At 37.6% G+C, this 18972-nt stretch overlaps 1 long non-coding RNA gene and 1 pseudogene across 2 annotated transcripts in view; both read left to right on the top strand.

The window, feature by feature from the left end:
• LOC124900169 (uncharacterized) overlaps window positions 1–14389 on the top strand; it is a 109752-nt gene extending 95363 nt beyond the window's left edge. The window contains exons 3-6 of one of the 2 annotated variants that reach the window (XR_007058343.1): window positions 6957–7037; window positions 7680–7832; window positions 9937–10040; window positions 14281–14389. This is a non-coding gene — a long non-coding RNA (uncharacterized LOC124900169). Of the gene's footprint in view, window positions 1–6956; window positions 10041–14280 lie in introns of both variants that reach the window. The other variant, XR_007058337.1, reaches the window with a different exon arrangement.
• Window positions 2840–3134, top strand: NDUFB2P1 (NADH:ubiquinone oxidoreductase subunit B2 pseudogene 2; annotated as a pseudogene).

Here is an 18972-nt window from a genome sequence, read left to right on the forward strand (position 1 = left end):
ATTAAATACCAAGCATTGAGTAATAATATAAAACTGGAACAGCAATTCAAGGGAAAATAATTGAGTCAGTCGTGTTTAACTAAAAAAAAATCAGGCCACAGATAAAAATTTTTCATTTGTATATCAGTACCCATATAAATATACTTTCTATCTATGCCACGCAGTTATTGCTGGATACATAGCCCCTTTTTCGTCCTTATTTATTATATCCTACCTCCTCCGCTACAATTTAAGGCCCTTCAGGGCAGAGACGATGTCTCACACTTCATATTACCAGCACTTAATATAGCATAAGTATATATTCCCCACTTACTACTGATTAAATATGTGAAAGTGAGTACAGAGGACATAGGCTTATTGGGAAATTAAATGGTCACTGTATCATATTTTTTAAAGCTTATCAAGTAATTTTACCTCAACCATATTAAAGATCTTCATAGGAAGTAGCCTCTAAATCCAAGCACAGTATTCTACATGTAGAAAGACTTTGTTAGCATATATTGAGCTAATCATTTCATTCAACAGGTATTATTTACTGAAAGTCTATCTGACCCAGTCATAGCTTTTCAGCACTTACTAATTCACTTATTCCTCCTGGCAACATACTTAGGATACTGGGTAGGAAGTACAGCACACAGTGATGAGATAATCTGCCTAAGGTCACAGTGGTTGGCTGGGATTCAAACCCAGGCAATGCAGCCCCTAAGTCTATGCTCTTGAGCACTGTACTGCATCACCATGCCTCTGGGAAGGAATGCCTGTTACAGTCTGTCTCCCTGCAACCAGGTGGCATCCTACCTTGCATTACTTGTTTGTGCAGAGTTGGACATTGATGCTTCCCAGGTATAAGTGAGGTGTGTGGTACATGTGGGTTTTGGGCTTTGCCCTCACCTAGCACTAAGTTGAAAGTGATTCAGATTTGAATACTGTGGTTCTATTGAGCTTAGTTTGATGCTAGTTTGAATAGAATACTGGAACTTATGTACAAAGTCTCTGTTAAAATATGTTTATAGTTTCTAAATATTAGATTGGATTTTCATTCTTCATTACTTGAAATTTGGTTCTATTTTTGTAAGGGAATTGATCCTACCCACAGTTCCCTCTCTATAGCTAGAATACTATCTCTTGCATTATTTCTTTGTGCAGAGTTGGACACTGAGGCCTCCAAGGGATAAATGGGATATGAGGTACATGTGTGTTTGGGGCTTTGCTGTGATCTAGCACTAATATGGTTAAAGCAATTCAACTTTATACAATATGAATCAGTCTTGGCCACATTTTATCCTACTTTGAGCTCCTAAAGGACTTTATATTATTCCTGTCACACACTGACCTGGATTGTTAGGGAAGGCTGGTATACACCCAGCACAGCAGGACTGAAATATTTGTCCTGTAAATAAGGAAATAAATGAAAAAATCTGGTAGAATTCTGTGTCACCTGAAATTCATAAGCAGACTTTTCTTTTTAAATATAATTGCAGTAATTATGAAAGTATGATTAATAACAGTTCTTATACAATTTTCAGTCTCCTCATTAAGCCCACATTCCTCTTGGTTATATGTGCAAGGAAAAAATAGGTCAGATTTATATTAACAGCCATCAACTTACAAAGAAAATAGTAAACCTAGAAACTTACAAAGAAAATAGAAAACCTAGGTCAGGTTTTCTTATTTAAAATTAATCTCTGCTTGAAATAACATATTTAGAAATTGCTCTTAAATATAGCTTATATTCATTTGAACAATAATGAATGCATTTAGTACTATGTAGCAAAAATTGCACAGTAAAAAGGAAAATATATAAAGTCTAGTTATTTCAGTTCCTTGAAGGTAAAAAGGTTGAGAGGAAAAAATAATCCTTTCTGATACCAGTCTTATGATACAATATATGCTCTGTGAAAATCTGAAGAAAAGGTGAAAAATGTAAAAATTTAAAAAATGTGAAAACAGTATTTAAAAAAAATAGTTTTAAAGACAGATGATGGGCCGGGTGTGGTGGCTCACACATGTAATCCCAGCACTTTGGAAGGCTGAGGCGGGCGAATCACGAGCTCAGGAGTTTGAAACCAGCCTGGCCAACATGATGAAACCCTGTCTCTACCAAAAATACAAAAATTCGCTGGGCTTGGTGGCATGTGCCTGTAATCCCAGCTACTCAGGAGGCTGAGGCAGGAGAATCGCTTGAACCCAGGAAGCAGAGGTTGCAGTAAGCCGAGATCATGCCACTGCACTCCAGCCTGGCAACAGAGGGAGACTCCATCTCAAAAAACAGAAAGATGATGAAGCTGTCTTCTGCCAATCTTAATGCTAGAATAAATGTTGAATGTGTAAATTCTTGTTGGTGCCTGTGCAATTAATTAAGATATTTATTCTAAATCCATTTTTTGTTTCTATACATCCTTGTATATTTTCAGTTATACTCATTTACATATTCAAGAAATAACAAGAACAATGTTTAAAATATCACAAGTAAAGGAAACTATTAGGTTGGTGCAAAAGCAATTGCATTTTTTGCCATTAAATTCAATGGCAAAACCGCAATTACTTTTGAACCAACCTAATATTTTGTTGCTGGATGACATCTAAACAACATTCAGGTAATTCAGCCCCCTTTCCCCTTTCATTTAATTTCCCATTTCTACCTCTCCTCCTTTCACAGTTACACATTTTAATCACAATGCCCTGTTTCACACTTCCTTGGTCAGCACCGATATTCTCTGAACTATTTTTCCTGCACAAGCACATAAACCCATAAACATAAATACACACGCATATTAAACAATCCGTCACATGATGGATAGCACGGCAGCCTGGTGACATTGTGGGGACGCGGCTGCACGTGGGCTCTGACCCAGCTGGCCTTTTCTTGGTGTTGGAGGCCGCCTCTTCCAAGGTTGCTGCACAGGTGGCTGGAGGTGGCACAGTGTGTCGGATGGGCGGTGGTGTGCATATCCAGTTTCCCCAACTGACCAGATCCCAGGTGATCTAGGCTGAGGTCCTCAGTGCAACAATATGGTTCTGGATTCTCTGGTGCTTTTGTCATGAGACTCAGATGCTGTGCTGGGTCACTTTCTATATCCAGAGTCTTCCCAGTGGACAGATGTAGAATTAGGCATCCTTCCTAATGATGAAGACTGAAAGTGTAGACTCAGCCTTTACAAGAGCCAGGTGAGCATTTCAAGAGATTGTAGACTTCATATTGAAGACAGAAATTAAAGTTGTTTGGTCAAGAATAATAATAAAGCTGGGTGTGGTGGCCCAGCACTTTGGGAAGCCAAGCGGGAGGATTGCTTGAGCCCAAGAGTTTGAGACCAGACTGGCAACATAGGGAGACCCTGTCCCTACAAAAATCAGCCAGGCACAGTGGCACACACCTGCGTTCCCAGCTACTCAGGAGGCTGAGTTGGCAGGGTCTCTTGAGTCCGGGAGGTCGAGGCTGCTGTGAGCCATGATCATACCAATGCACTCCAGCCTCGAAGAGAGTGAGACCCTGTCTCAAAAAATACAATAAATAAAAATAAAACAATCCATTAGGACATACTATTAATGTGTGTGTGTGTGTGTGTATGTGTGTGTGTGTGTGTGTATGCGTGTATATACGCATATTTTTTCTCATGGTGTAAGTGCAGTGAGCACTGAACAGAAGTTATAAAATAGCTTTGTCCTGTGGTCATTAGTAAATCTTCCTGTGAATACTTCCATGAGCCTCTACTGAGATATTGTGACTTCTGTGCATACTTTGTGATATCCAGGCTAGTCTATGATCAAAGGATAACAAAGATTGCAGGTAAAAAATTTTGGAGGAAATAATATCCACCCTGATACCACTCTCATGATTAATATGCTATGTGCAGACTTCTTGTTTTCTATCACCAACTTTGTGTCCTGGCAAACAACTTTGAATTCTAAGGCTGACAGCAGAATGCTAGTGATAGTGCTGCAACCGTAGCAAAGAAAAAACAAAAGATGTTTCTGTATGCAAGTTTTACCATGACTTAAAACTTCTTCAAACTGATTGTCAGTGAAAAGTGAGCAAAAATCAATTTAAGATTGGTGGAAGCCCATTGCCGATATGAAGGGCACTAGTACCATTGCTGACATTTGGAAGGACTGATCTCTAACTTTGAGGAAGGCGGCTGGAAGAAACTATTGGTAGACAGTAAGCAGGGCTTTATAAGAGGAATTACCAATAGACAGTACTGGACACACATGGCCATAAGAACCATACTAATACCTGGAAAATGCTCTTCAGTCTTGTAAAATGCTCTTCATTCTTGTAAAATGCTCTTCGGTTAAAGCTGCCATTGTTGGGAACATGGTTTTTTGCCTCCCATTCATGATGTGTGTGTATACTTAAAATGCCTTTCAACTCTGGAAGGACCCCTGTGGGGTCAGATTACAGGTATTAGGATAAATTCATGGTTTATGTAATAAACCATGATTTTCCATGAGAGAGACACGGAAATAGATATAAATGTATGTACGCATGTGTGCATATATGCATATGTGTGTTTGTATGTCATAAAGGTATTTTCTACGTCTGTCTGCTGAGATAATCTAGAAGCAATGGCACCCCACTAGCAATTACATGCAAAGTGTCCAGATTTTTATTTCTAAATACCATTCTATACACTAAAAGGAACAGGGGCTACATAAAAAAAATTATTGATTGTAGAATTGGGGTTGGGAAAGAACAAGATGAGCCTGGAACATTTTATGGTGGCAGCAAGTAAAGAAGTGCTCAAAGAATGATAGGGGCTGGGTGCAATAGCTCATGCCTGTAATTCCAGCACTTTGGGAGGCCAGTGAGAGGATTTCTTGAAGCCAGGAGTTTCAGACCAGCCTGGGCAACAAAGCAAGACCCCCATCTCTAGAAAAATAAAAAAATTAGCCAGCTGTAGCTACTTGGGAGGCAGAGTCAGGAAGATCGCTTGGCCCCAGGAGTTCAAGGCTGTGGTGAGCTGTGATCAGTCCACTGCACTTCAGCCTTCCAGTCTGAGTGACAGAGACCCTGTCTCTAAAACAAACAAACAAACAAACAAACAAACAAACAAAGAATGGTAGGGACAAGTCAGAAGAACACACAGGTCAGTCTGAAGGAATTTTCACAGGACAAACTGGAACAACCTGATCATCAAAAGAAATAAAAATATTAATGGATCTAATCCATTGAATAAAATAATACAATGAAATCCACAGCAATATTAATAGGCAGGAGAGAATAGAAACCTTTTTCTTATGATGGAAATATAACTCCTTACTGTAGAAAGAATGACTAGAATAATTACCATTTGGCAATCATCATCACAATAACTAATCCAGACAAGAATTATCAATGGATGCTAAAACTAACGGTAGAAACTTTGAGGGGTACCAGGATATGCACATAGTCTCAAAGTATTGCCCCAGAAGAAACATATTAATTACAAAAGGAAAATAGTAACTTTGCATTGCATAAACCTGGCAGACATACTTTAACCAGTTGATCGATATTATCATCACTGGTGTCAATGCCTTGTGGCCTAAGACCAACAGGAACACACCTGCAGTTGAACAAGATGAGTTATTAATTATTGTAGTGACAGAGGATGCACCTCATGAGAAATCACGGGGATATCTCAGTAAGAAGGTGTTAGACAGGAATTATAGGATTTGGGCTTGTGTTAGATAATTTTGTGGAGGATTTAAATAATTTCTGGATTGGATGTTCTCAGGAAGCAGGGGTAATTCTATGGTTGGATAACTTATTAAATCTAATATAGAAGGAAAGAAGACCAGACTGAAGCTCCAGCTGTAATTGGTAAATAAGCCACAGGCATACTAGCCAGGATCAAGGAATGATTAGTCATTTGTATGATGATGACAATGTTTATGGTTTTGTCTATGCTCAGACTTGATAATGAATGGTCTTGTCACAAGGTCACAGAGTGGCCTTGACTGATTGCTCTGGTTCAATAAAATGGACCTTGACTGGTGTTCTGGTTAATAGTTTATGTTCAACAAAAGAACTTCAAGTCTCAGCTGTGAGTGCCAGTGTATCTCCTAGCAACACCAAGGTTACCGTGGTATTCTCAGATCCCAGATGTCAGGAACAAATCAACATCACTTGCCTACTGATATCATGCTTTGAAAATGAAACACCATCACTCCTGTGACATTCCTGCCCAAAATTAATAACCTGGATCTAATCATGAGGAAAAATGAGAATAATACTAATTGCTGGATATTTTACAAAATAGCATGCCTGTATTCCTCCAAATGTGAATGTCATAAAAGAAAGACAGATTGAGTAATTAATCATTCTACATCAAAGGAGACTAGCAAGACATAACAACTGATTGCGATGCATAATTTAGAATTTACTTTTGCTTTAAAGGACATTACTGGGATAGTTGGCAAATTCTGAATAAGCCTGTAGATTAGGTAATTTTGTACGTGTTAAATGTTCTGATTTTGATAATTATACTATGATATGTAAGAGAATATTTTTATTTTTAGGAAACATATATTGAAGAATTTAAGGGTAAAGGGGCATTATATCTGACCCTTTCTCAAATAGTTCAGAAAAAGCCATATATTTGTATATGTATATACATGTATGCACATACACACAAAGGGAAGAATAAAACAAGATTTGGAAAATCTGGGTAAAGAATATATGAGAATTCCTCACACAATTGTTGCAAATGCTATGGATCATCTGTAATGATGTCAAAATTTAAAGGAAAAAGGAAAAAAAGTCTTCCTCTTCTGGTGAATTCAATCTTGTTGTTTGACTCATTGCATTCTTAGGTAAAATGTCTATTTATACACATATTTACATCTAAACCTCCTAGCTTAATTTTTAATGGCCATGATAAGGCTGACGACTTGTGGGGTTTACTCAGAAGTATATACTTCCTTTAGCAGTCCTTGTATTTGGTAAAATATGTTCTAATTCATCTTTTCTTCTGTAGATAAGAATTGCTGGCAACATATGCACTAAACTTCGTTTTGAAAAATCCCCTTGATGCCGATCACTGAGAAGTGATCCACAGGTGAGCGTCTAAGCATTGAACATTTTCTATTCTGTGCTTTTTTCTTTCGTGTGTTGTTGATGTCAGGCTGTTATCAACACATTCTATGAAACAGGACCCTAGGTATATGCATTATAACACGAAACTCATTATAACACAGAGTATAGAATTAGGGATAAAATAGGAGTGAAATCATTTTTGATAGCTTCTTAGTGAAACATAATTGTCTTTATTTTAATGAGTGTTGTTTTAGAGGATTTGAAGATCATAGAGCACAAGAGAAAACATAGTGCCTTTACATTTAACTTCGCGTGTGTGTGTGTGTGTGCTCATAAATGACTTAATTTTAAAGCTAAAGATTATTTAGTATTCTATAGATTAAGATGAATCATTATTTGAGGCAAAGAAAGTTATTATCTTATTAATATATGGTCCAGAGTCAGCTAAAGTCAGATACTATGGAAGTGGGTTGACATGTGCCTGGGTCATCCTAAGAAGGAAATAAAATCAGTACTTTAGCTCAGTCCATTGTATCACTTAGCCTTAACATTTGCAAATGATTTTGAAACCTTGCTATATTTAGCTCTTCTTAATTATAATTGACAATTGGTGGTGGCTATATAATTTTTAATAAATGCATAGTAACAATGTCTTATTTAGTAGGAGTATCTCTTAGGTTCTCATGAATATGTGACGGGGACTGCCTTACCTTCAGGACTATACCATCGATCTCACTGGGCCCCATTACCTTGTGGCAATGACCTGAGGTTTGACAAAATTGTAAGAACCAGCCTCAGTAACAGTGTTTCTCAAAGTGTGAGTATTGCCTGCCTTGGAATCAACTGGGGTGCTGATTAGAATGAAGATTCCTGACTCCACCCCATACCTACTCCATTGGAAACTGATTGTGAGACCCAGGAATCTGCTTTTTAAATAAGCTCCCTAAAGTGATCCTTAGGTGCCTAATGTATGAAAAACATTCTCAGAACTTGCCTTAAATTAATTTTTTTAAAAATGAATGTACTTTATACTCCTCCATCTCTCTCATATTTCTTTCCACATCACATACTTTATCAATATCTCAAATTAAACACATAAGAAAGCACTGAAATAATTTTATTCATTCAAGATCTTAAAGTCCAGAACTACCTAAGATATCCTCAGTTCAGCTCTTCTGTAGTTCTGCTCTTAATCTATTATTTGAATCATCTAAAGATAATGAAGTCATTTTAAGCTATAGTCATTTGATAAGCAAATAATTGTAAAGTTTGTTAAAACAGCTCACATTCTTCAGCTATGCTTCTTGTTTCAGCAGATAACCTGCAGGCATCATTGATGAAATTAAAATTAGGGTGAATCATGAGCAGGAAAAGATATTACTTCAGAAGATTATAAGGTCAATCACGAGCAAAAATATATATATTTCAGTTCCTTTATATGTTCAATTTACTTAGATATTTGTTTATTTTTCCCTGTTTGTGGTAATCCCTAGTTTTTGCATTTTCTTGTAACTAGTTCATTCCTGTAAATGAAGAGTTTCTAATTCAGGAACTGCTTCTTTTTGCATACATTAATTTGTAAAATTTTTTTCCACATAGAATTTGTCTACCAAATAATGTATTTTACTGTTCCTTAGTATGCATTTTTGAAATGTACTTATTATCATTGTATCAAATACAATCTCATTTACCCAGAGCATTTAAATAGGAGTCACTGTTAAGAATGTGTGACCTGAAAGATAATAATTCTAATAATAGAATGCTCAAAACACCCAGTAATGTTCTATTTTGTGCATCAAAGCAAAATATTGGGCAAATGGTACTGGACTTCCAGATCAAAGATATTTCTAATTTAAAGTCATTAGTGGATGGACAAAAGAGCTTCAGCTTTAGAAAACTTATTCTTAGGACAAATGCAAAATTGAATCCCAGATAAAAGAATACACAAGATAGGCAGTATAAATAAACACCAGCGTGATAGACTGAATACCAGCATTAACAATGTGGTCATTGGAATGTGGAAGGGAGTAGGTAATTTTTAACAAATGTAGACCAACTATCTCACCAAATATATAACATACGAGACAAGAAGACTGGTATATATATACATATATATGTATATGTATATATATCTTCTTGTCTCATATATATATGATATATATATGTCTTCTTGTCCCATATATGTATATACACATATATATATACACATATATATACATATATACATATATATACACACACACACATATATATATCTCCTATAGGCATTCGATGAAGATGTTCTTTTTTCTGTAAAGCATATACTTAAAAACTTTGATAAACTGTGATTTGTTTAATATATTCACGTTTAGAGTATCTTTCTCTGATGCCCAAATCCAAGCTGTACTATTCTTGTCCTCATTTAAGAGTATCTTACTCTTCTTTTTAAATGTGCAGACATCTTATTATTTACTACAAGCAATTTGCATGTATAAGATTACATTACAAATACATTATTATAAGCTTACATTACATTGTATACATTATACATATAATGTATAAATATTTTTTGTATAAGAAGCAATCTAACAATTACTTACACAATTTTAATGCTTTCATAAGATTCTTGTACTAAATTTGGAGAAATGGAGAAATCTGAATATTTTATCTATCTCAGTCAGAGTTTAAAAAATGAATGGTACAGTGACCTAATACTTTGAGCTCAAATTAAATTCAAGGTTTGCTATAAAATTTTTTGCATTTTAGCCCAGAGGACATTTAACCACTTTCAATTAACTACACATATTTTCTCTTCTATAGTACATACTATGATAATGATATTACAGTGATTTTATGCAATAAAAATGTGATTACAAATTTTAACAAATTACTCTGAGCCTAAATTTTCCTAGTGTCTATCATTAATATGATTCTCTCACCAGCATCCTGCCACATGCCTAGTTTGATACTGAAGATTGACAGCACTAAGGGAGAACTTACTGTTATAACAAACTAGGAGAAAGAAAGATCAAGCTTTTGGGAACATGTATGTAAAATTTTCTACAATTATTAATGCTCTAAATAGGAATAGAATTAAAACTTGTTTTTCATGAAGATTTGTAATATAAGCAAATGACCTACTACTGTCACTCTGTCAATTTATTACACATCAATAACTTCCATAAATTTCCTGGTTACATCAAGCTTTGAGTCATCTACATGGGCTGGTAGATGACCTCACCAACTGGTTGGGTTTAGGATTTTACTTCTTCAGAATCTACTTTACAAACTAAAGTGGGTAGGAACAAACCCTTTTTGACTTCACTTCCAAATGTTTCTGGAGCTACACTTCTTAATCTCCTTCCTCCTTTCCTGTCTCAGAGGAACAGAAGTCCTTCCTCCTCATCAGTTCTAACTTCCATCTGCAGTTTTGATCCCATGGCTTCCCACCTCCTCTGGACTGATTTCCATCATTTATTTATTTATTTATTTAGCTGTGTTTTTCTTCTCCATTGAGTCTCCTTTTATGTACAAATATCCTCCTGTGTTCTCCATTTAAAACAAATTTAAAAATTAAAAGTAGGCCAGGTGCAGTGGCTCACACCTGTAACACCTCCCAGCACTTTGGGAGGCCAAAGGCAGGAAAATTGCTTGAGCTTAGGCATTTGTGACCAGCTGGGGAAACATAGTAAGATCCTGTCTCTACAAAAGAAAAAAAAAATACCTGGTTATGCATGCTTGTAGTCCCAGCTACTTGGAAGACTGAAGTGGGAGGATCACCTGAGCCTGGGAAGTCGAGGCTGCAGTGAGTCGAGATTGTGCCACTGCACTCCAGCCTGGGTAACACAGAGAGACCCCATCTCAAAAAAATAGCAATAAAAAAAACCATAAAAAATGTAAAAAGTGAAAATTGAAAAAGCAAATAACAATAAAAAATATTTTCCATTTTATCCTCTATTTCTCATTTTCTTTACTGCAAAACCTTTAGAAAAGCTTGTCTGTTCTTTGCCTAGCCCTTCCCTTGGCCTAACTCTCACTCCCTCAACCCTCAGCAGTCAGGTACTCATGAAACTATTTTCACACTAGTGCCTTCCTTATTGCCTAATCAAATGGTCTCTTGACGCTCTTGCTAACTCCTCTTTGTTTGACACGACTGAACATGCCTCTCCTAATAAGACTTTGTTCGGCCTGGCCATCTCCTACCTCTCATTCCTTCCCCAGCATCTTGGCTGACTCCTTAGTGCTGCCTTCCCTTTATGCAGGGCTCTATCCTGGCTGCCTTCTCACCACGTTCTATGTGTTATCCCTGGGCAGTTTTGTCTACTCCAAAGTAGTAGCACCCACACACTTCTGACTCCCAAATCTGTATCCTATGGCCATACTTCTCTCCAGAGATCTTGTTTAATCTATGTATCCACCTACTTAACATCCCAACTTGAAAAGCCATAGACTCCTGAAACTCAACATGTCCGAGAGTGAACTCATTTGTTCCTCCTGTAAAACCTGCTTTTTCTCCTACCTTCCCCATTCCTATGAAGGGTTTCACTCTTTGCCCAGAGTCATCCCTGGTTCCATTTTATTCTTCTTCCCACTTCTGCCACCACCACTACATCCAGTTGGTCACCAAAAATATCTTTAACTTTTTTACGTGCTCCTCCATCTTGTTTTCCATTACCTTAATCTGGCCCCTTTTCATCTTTTCCCTGGACTACTAAGTGACCTTTTAATTGGTCTCTGCTCCACAGTTGCTTTGGATCACATCATTCCCCTTCTTGAATGTCCCTCATGGCTATTGATTACCTACAGAATAAAGTCTGAGCTCCCCACATGGCACAGGAGGCCCTTCACAACCCGGGCCCCACAAGCTCCCAGTGTGGATTTGACCTCTACCCGTAGAGAGGTATAAGTCCTATATTCTAGTTGAGCTGGACTATTTAAATCTCATCTTTGTTCATGCTGCTTCCTTTGCCTGCCCTCTTGGTACCCACATGCCTACCCCTGTAGATCTAACAAACTCTGACTCCTCATGGTACTGCTTAGGAGCTACTCATTCTCTCACATTCCCTACCCCAAGTAGATGAATTTCTCACCTTTAGTGCATGATCCTTTTCCAACACATCACACAGAATTATGAAAGTTTATTGAGGTCTGTTTCCTCCTTACCAGGCTCTGTGTTCTATTAGGGAGGGGACTGCATTTCATTCATTGCTGTGTTTTGGAATGTCCACATGGAACTTGAGACTAAATGTTCAATAAATACCTGTTGAAGTGGATTCAAGCCTAGAATTCTCCCATCCCCATTTACAGAATTTCCTACTGCCCTACGGCTCTTTGTCACCTTTTCCAAATTTACATGAGAGTTATAGGCAATGAAGAGATTGCTTTATGTATTCTAGAAGAAAAATATACATAGCCATCATTTCTTGAGTTCTTACTAAGTGCTGCTTTTGTAATACATACATATTAATTCATTTAATCCTTATAACAACCTTATGAGGTAGGCTTCATCTTTATCATCATCCTCACCTTAGAGAGGAGGTAACTGAGACAGAGTAGTTAAGTAACTTGCCAAAGGTCACAAAGCTAGGAAGTAGAAGAGCCAGGATTTGAATCCAGGCAAGTTAGCTACAGAGTAGACATTCTTAACCATCATCCCACACTTTTTCCATTTGTAGTGTGCTGTCCCAGCCTACCCTTTTGTCTTCCTTATTTGGTAGCAACAACACATGTGTTTTCAGGAACAGATAAATTTATGTCAGTACGTTTAAATCTATTTGGCTATGTAAATATGGGAATGTTTTATTGATATAATTTTTATACATAATTTGTAATTTTAAAATAGTTAAATAAAATATGTATTGCTTTTGACTTTCTCAAAGAAGTGTAGAAGTTTTGAGTCAAAAGGGACTTTGAATTGGAGAGATGACTACTTACCCAAGGTAATAAATGTAAATTTTAAATAGGAATAATTATGGAATATAAGCCAAGAGAGTTAAAATTCTTAACTAATCCAAATAAGTGTAACTTACAATATAACTGTTAGATAAAATTGTAAGCAAAAACTTTATTGAATGCCCACTGTGAACTCAGAACACATTCTTATGAATATGTTGCCTTACTCAAGGAAGATCCATTTCTAGATAATATTGCTAAAATGAGTTATATAAAGTCACATTTTTGGTAAAGCACATAATTAAAATAGCTTCTTGACAATTAATCTTTCTTTTGTAATATCAGTAATTACTCTTTATTCTTCTTGAATTTGGTTTTCTGAAAAAAGAATAAACCTCTGCTAGACATTTTACATTGGAGGATTCATAAACGAGTAGAGAGAAATCTTCAAGATTTCTATAATTTCACCTATAAAGCAAAATACTTGGTTAAATTATAATTAAGCACCACGTACTTTTTTTAAAAAAGATGAAAAATAGAAGAATTGTTATTTGGAAACCAAATGGTGCAGCCCTAAAAGACATACAAGAAAATCCAGTCCCTTTCAAAAGAAATAAAAACAAATGTAAGAGGAGACATAATTTAAGGAAACAGAAAGAGAGTTTGGACTTTGTCATCTTATACTGGACTTGGCAGTGAGATGTGAGAATGACCATCTACAGCTATCACTAGATTGAATTCCAGGAAGGTTCAGAAGCTGAATTGACGATGAGAGTCACCAGCAGGGGAGTAATGGATAGTATCTATTGCTTTTTCTGTGATGAGTGGACCAGGGCACAAAGAGTTCAACTGATTTGCTTAGAATCATGAAGTAGGTTGTGCCAATATTCTGGGTGACACAGGACTAAAAGGAGGAAATCTAATAACAATCTAGAGGATTTCTAAGTCTGGCTAAACCTTTGGACCTGGTTCCAGGGCCATCCTCTACAGACCCCTCTATAGGTAAGGACCTGCTGAGTGTGGCCTGGCACCCTGAGGTTCACAGCATTATTGGTTTGGTTACTTGCTCTTCTGCAGGAGGCAGGTCACAGTTGGATAAAACTCATGATCTAAGAGACCCCAGGTCACTCTCCCTGCTGATTGTGACCCTGATTTCCTAGGTTCTAAGGTATTCAGGGATGATTTTTGAGATGCCATTTGGCCTCTGACAATTAGACCCATCATAATAATATCTGATATGGTTTGGCTGTGTCCCCACCCAAATCTAATCTTGAATTCCCAAGTGTTGTGGGAGGGACACAGTGGGAGGTAATTGAATCATGGGGGCAAGTCGTTCCCATGTTGTTCTTGTGATAGTGAATAAGTCTCACGAGATCTGATGGTTTTAAAAACAGGAGTTCTGCTGCACAAGTTCTCTGTCTTTGCCTGCTGTCATTCATGTAAGACATGACTTGCTCCTCCTTGCCTTCCACCATGATTGTGAGGCTTCCCCAGATATGTGGAACTGTAAGTCCAATTAAATCTCTTCCTTTGTAAATTGCCTAGTCTTGGGTATGTCTTTATCAAACATGCGAAAACGGACTAATACAATGTCCTTAGAGGATATCACAGAAAAAAACTAGAGCCCTCCCTTCCGGATTCCAACACCCTAGAATTAAATGAGATAAAAGAATGACAGATGCAAAAGAACAAGTGTAATGTATGTTACAACATGAAATAATTATGACCAAAGGGCAAATATTCTAGATTATTCTTTTTGAAAGTTAAACTAGGTGAACTTTAAAAATGCCTGTGATTTCTGGTTTAAACTGCTATGTAGATTAAAAACTTTATAGGTTTTTAATTTATCTTTAAAGAAAAAGGTTGGGTTGGCACTGTGGCTCACGCCTGTAATCCCAGCACTTTTGGAGGCCGAGGCAGGCGGATCACAAGGTCAAGAGATTGAGGCCATCCTGGCCAACATGGTGAAACCCTGTCTCTACTAAAAATACGAAAATTAGCTGGGCATGGTGGCGTATGCCTGTAGTCCCAGCTACACGGGAAGCTGAGGCAGGAGAATTGCTTGAACCCAGAAGGCAGATGTTGCAGTGAGCCGAGATCATGCCACTGCCCTCCAGCCTGGTGGCAGAGTGAGACTCCATCAAAAAAAAAAAAGAAAGAAAGAAAAGGTTACTGAATTTTAAAAAATTAATCCTATGTGATCCAATTTCAGTTCCACTCACATTCTTTATGAGTAAAGTCTGGATGTTAATAAAATGAAAGTAATTCTACGTAATCTGACTTAAAGGCAAGTCACTGTAGAGGGAAACCAGGATAAAAATAAGTGTACTTAAGTCAAGTGTGTAGTTTGTACCTACAGAGGCAAACACAGGCAGCTTGGTTCTTAAGAGAGCTGCCCACTTGGAGTTCTCCCAATTAAGAAGTTGGAGACAAAAATCCATTTTTTTTTCTATAGTTGTATGAGACTTTTAGGTATGAATCAGCTTCAGTTGAACTACATTGAATTTTTAGCATGGTGTGAGATAAGAGTATATTTATAACACTGTAGGATGACTATAGTTAATAATATTATGTAGTTTCAAATAGCTAGAAGGAGGATGTTGAGTGTTCTCAACACAAATAAATGATAAATGTTTGAGATGATGGATATGCTAATTACCCTGATCTGATCACTATGCATGATATGTATCAAAACATCACTATGTACCCCATGATACTGTACAATTGTTACTTTGAACTAAAAAATTTTTAAACATTTGAAAAAGTAAATGTAACTACAAAAGACCAGAATGGTACACTGACCTTTCAGATTAACTTTAGATATTAGACATTGTATTTTCAAAAAACATATCAACAATAAGTATTGCTACAAATCATTGATGAGATAGTGTGCCTATGTCACTTAAAATTTCTCTGCAATTGAAGATACATTATTAAAGGAGCCATTGATTTTCAACACCAATTGCTGCCAAACTCCTGCTCAATCTCTTCTTGTTTTGCTATGGAATTACTCCTTTACTGCAGTATGAATGACTTCTTTTTTCCTTTTAAAACAGTTATTATGGATCCTATTAGGTTTTCTAAGTACTAGACAGTGATTGATCTTCTTTTTCTTATAATTACTCCCCTGAAAATTGACTAGCAGTTAAGACACTCTGAAGGGCCTGAGTAATTTGATTTTTGTAGGCCCGGTGCTCCATGAACCCTTGGAGGGGTTTAGAGAGCATCTCATTCCAGTCTAGCACAGGCAGGACACTATACACATGAGGGCTCTGAGGCCTCAAGAGGGTCAGCAATCTCACAGAGCATCAGATATGAGTATTTAAAGCAAAGCATGACATTAAAAGTTATTTGTCTTCATGTCTCTAAAATGTCTACCTATTTAGGATTTTTGAAATATAATAGCAACATTCATTGCTGCTGTGGTAGTTGGTAGTACTGATGCTTCTCAATGCTGGTCTGTTTGATGATAGCAATACCCAATTTCTCAGTACATTTCCTATATGAATACAGTGGCACTGCAGCTTTCTTCTGAATTTCTGAATACGTAGCCAAAGGCTATAGTCATATTTCCTTTTGTTAACAATCCTGGGTCATCCAATATTCATATCTATTATTGTCTCATAATAATAAATTAGGATCTAAAGCAAACAAGATTAACTTATAAAGTAGCTGCTATATTTCTTCCAAGTGACTCAGAAGTAACATGCCTTGCTGTTTATTGTTTCTATTTAAAAGTGGAATATGCTTTATGTTTTGTGGGCATATCAAATGTTTTACTCATTTCTTGATATCATTTTATCATTTCTGAAATAGACATTTGGGGTGTTTTCTGCTTTGTGAGAGGCATTTTTGAACAAATGCCAGGTTTTAGTCTTTGTTTTTATGATTATAAACCACTTCATTGGTGAACAGCCAGAGGAGCTGAGCTCTCAGAAAGCTCCCAAATCTCCTGAGTGTGAGTCTCTGTGTGCTGGCTGCATACTGACTGTGTCCATTTTACTCAACTCCAAAACACTTGCCTGCTTCCTGCTCACCCCTGTGGCTCTGTGCCAGTCCTCAGAACGTGTTTGTGAGTAAAGGTATGTCCTTTGTCTACACTGCATTCTTGGATGACTGTGCTGTCAAACGAGAAATGGAAAAGCCCCTCTGCCTTACTTTGTTTCTCTGAATAATACAAATATTGCAGATGATGCATCACATTATGAATTTTCATAGAATACTGCAATGTATTTGATTCTGTTTAATTCTCAAAATAGCCCTCTGGATATTATTTCCATTTTAGAAAGACGGAATTGAGGCTCAGAGGTGGCAAGTGACTTGTCTGAGATTATTTTGTTGTAAATGGCACTTCCAGGCCCTTAACTCAGGATTTCTGCCTTTCTGCCTCCTACCTCTGCATCACAGCTGCCTCAACCTGTTGTTAATTTTATATTAAGCTGTATTAATTGGGGCTAGGAGTCTTCATAATGCTAAATGTAAATTCTTTGTTTTGTTCAATGTTCTTATTTTATGGTTGGCAAACAAAAACAACAAAACAGCATTGACAACAACAACAGAAACAACCAACTGAAGCTGCAGCTTTTAATCTTTCTAAAGACAATAGGCTAAAGTGAGGTCCTCATAATAAGATGCTAGTCACCAGGAAGGAAGCCAGGGAAAATCTCCTCCCAGGGGGTAATTGATCCCTATTGGCCTAACACTGCATGTAGCACTGAGTTAGGAGGCTCCATGGAGAAGTGTCTGCTTCTTTTCCTCTGCTGTCAGAACAAAGTTCACAAACAACTTTGTTTTCCCCACACCTTTGGAGTTAGCTAGTTAGGGCCCCTATTTATGTCCAGGGGACCAGACCTGGACATTTGTAAAAGAACTGAATATAGATGGATAGCTAAGAAAAAAACAAATGTTAAGATTATCATTATTTATAGCCCAATGATTTAGTAATCTAAAAAAATCCAAGAACAACAAAATAATCCCTAAGAAGGACAAGAATTTTAAAACATGCAGTTTAGAAAACCAAATTTCTCAGGCCTAGAGCTCAAGTAAAAGAAAATCTGAGATAATGAAGTCTGGAACACTGGGCCTGCATTCTGCTCCTGACTCTGTGCCCTTGGGTAAGACATTGAACTTCCCCACCCCAGATTCATCCTACACCCTAAGGAGGGTGTAGGATTTTGTAGCCTTCCTAGTGATGGCATACTATTAATCAGAACCTTAACCAGCTCTATTCTCACTATCCCAGTAAAATGATGTTAAAAATTAGACCTCGTGACATGAGAGAAGAGGGGAAATTAATTACAGATTACAAAGAAATTGTGGGATCTAAGTTTAGGGTGAGGTGTTTTATTGAACCTCTAGGGTTGGTCATAGCACCTGCCATATAGCAGGTATTCAATAAATGATGTGTAATGGGTGGTTAGACTGATGGAAAGGCAGGCCTTCCCAGTGACGGTAAAGGACCTGGGGCAAAAGAGACCTGTGGTTGAGTCCTGATCCCCACACATTAGCACACTGACTAGACGAAGTTATAAGCTTCAATTTCTTCCTGTGTAAAATGGAGATAATACCTCATAGGGTTATGAGGATTAAATAAGAAAATGCTTAGTTCAGTGCCTAATACACAGGAAGCACACCGTAAATATTAGTTATTATTATTACTAATACTGTGATCATATCTTCCATCCAAAGACTTCTCTGAGGAGCAGGGGGCATCCAGAGATAAAAAGCCTGCAGGTGGGAAATCTGTTAGCCTTCTAGGGCGTTAGGTTTCTGTGGAACTCTGCACCTCTTCCCTGTCCTAGTTCTTAAGAACAGAAACTCTCCAGGGACCTCTGGTGAGGTAGCCGTGGGAAGATGAGGTGCAGAAGTAAGCTGGGACCTGTGAGCCTCAATTTCGGCCTCTTCTGCGCTGAGACCCAAGCGGATCTTGCTTGGCCTGTATGCGTTACTGGGGGAAATGGACGTGGGCCTGAGCGCGGCAGGTGCGAGGGCGCTGCCCCGGGGCCGACCACCCTGCGGGGACACTGTAGCTGTCATTCCTTCTTCTGCAGGCGGGTAGGGGAAGCGGTGGCCAAAGTGGGAGTCGA

Source organism: Homo sapiens, chromosome 4 (assembly GCF_000001405.40).
Source record: "Homo sapiens chromosome 4, GRCh38.p14 Primary Assembly".
NCBI lineage: Eukaryota > Metazoa > Chordata > Mammalia > Primates > Hominidae > Homo > Homo sapiens.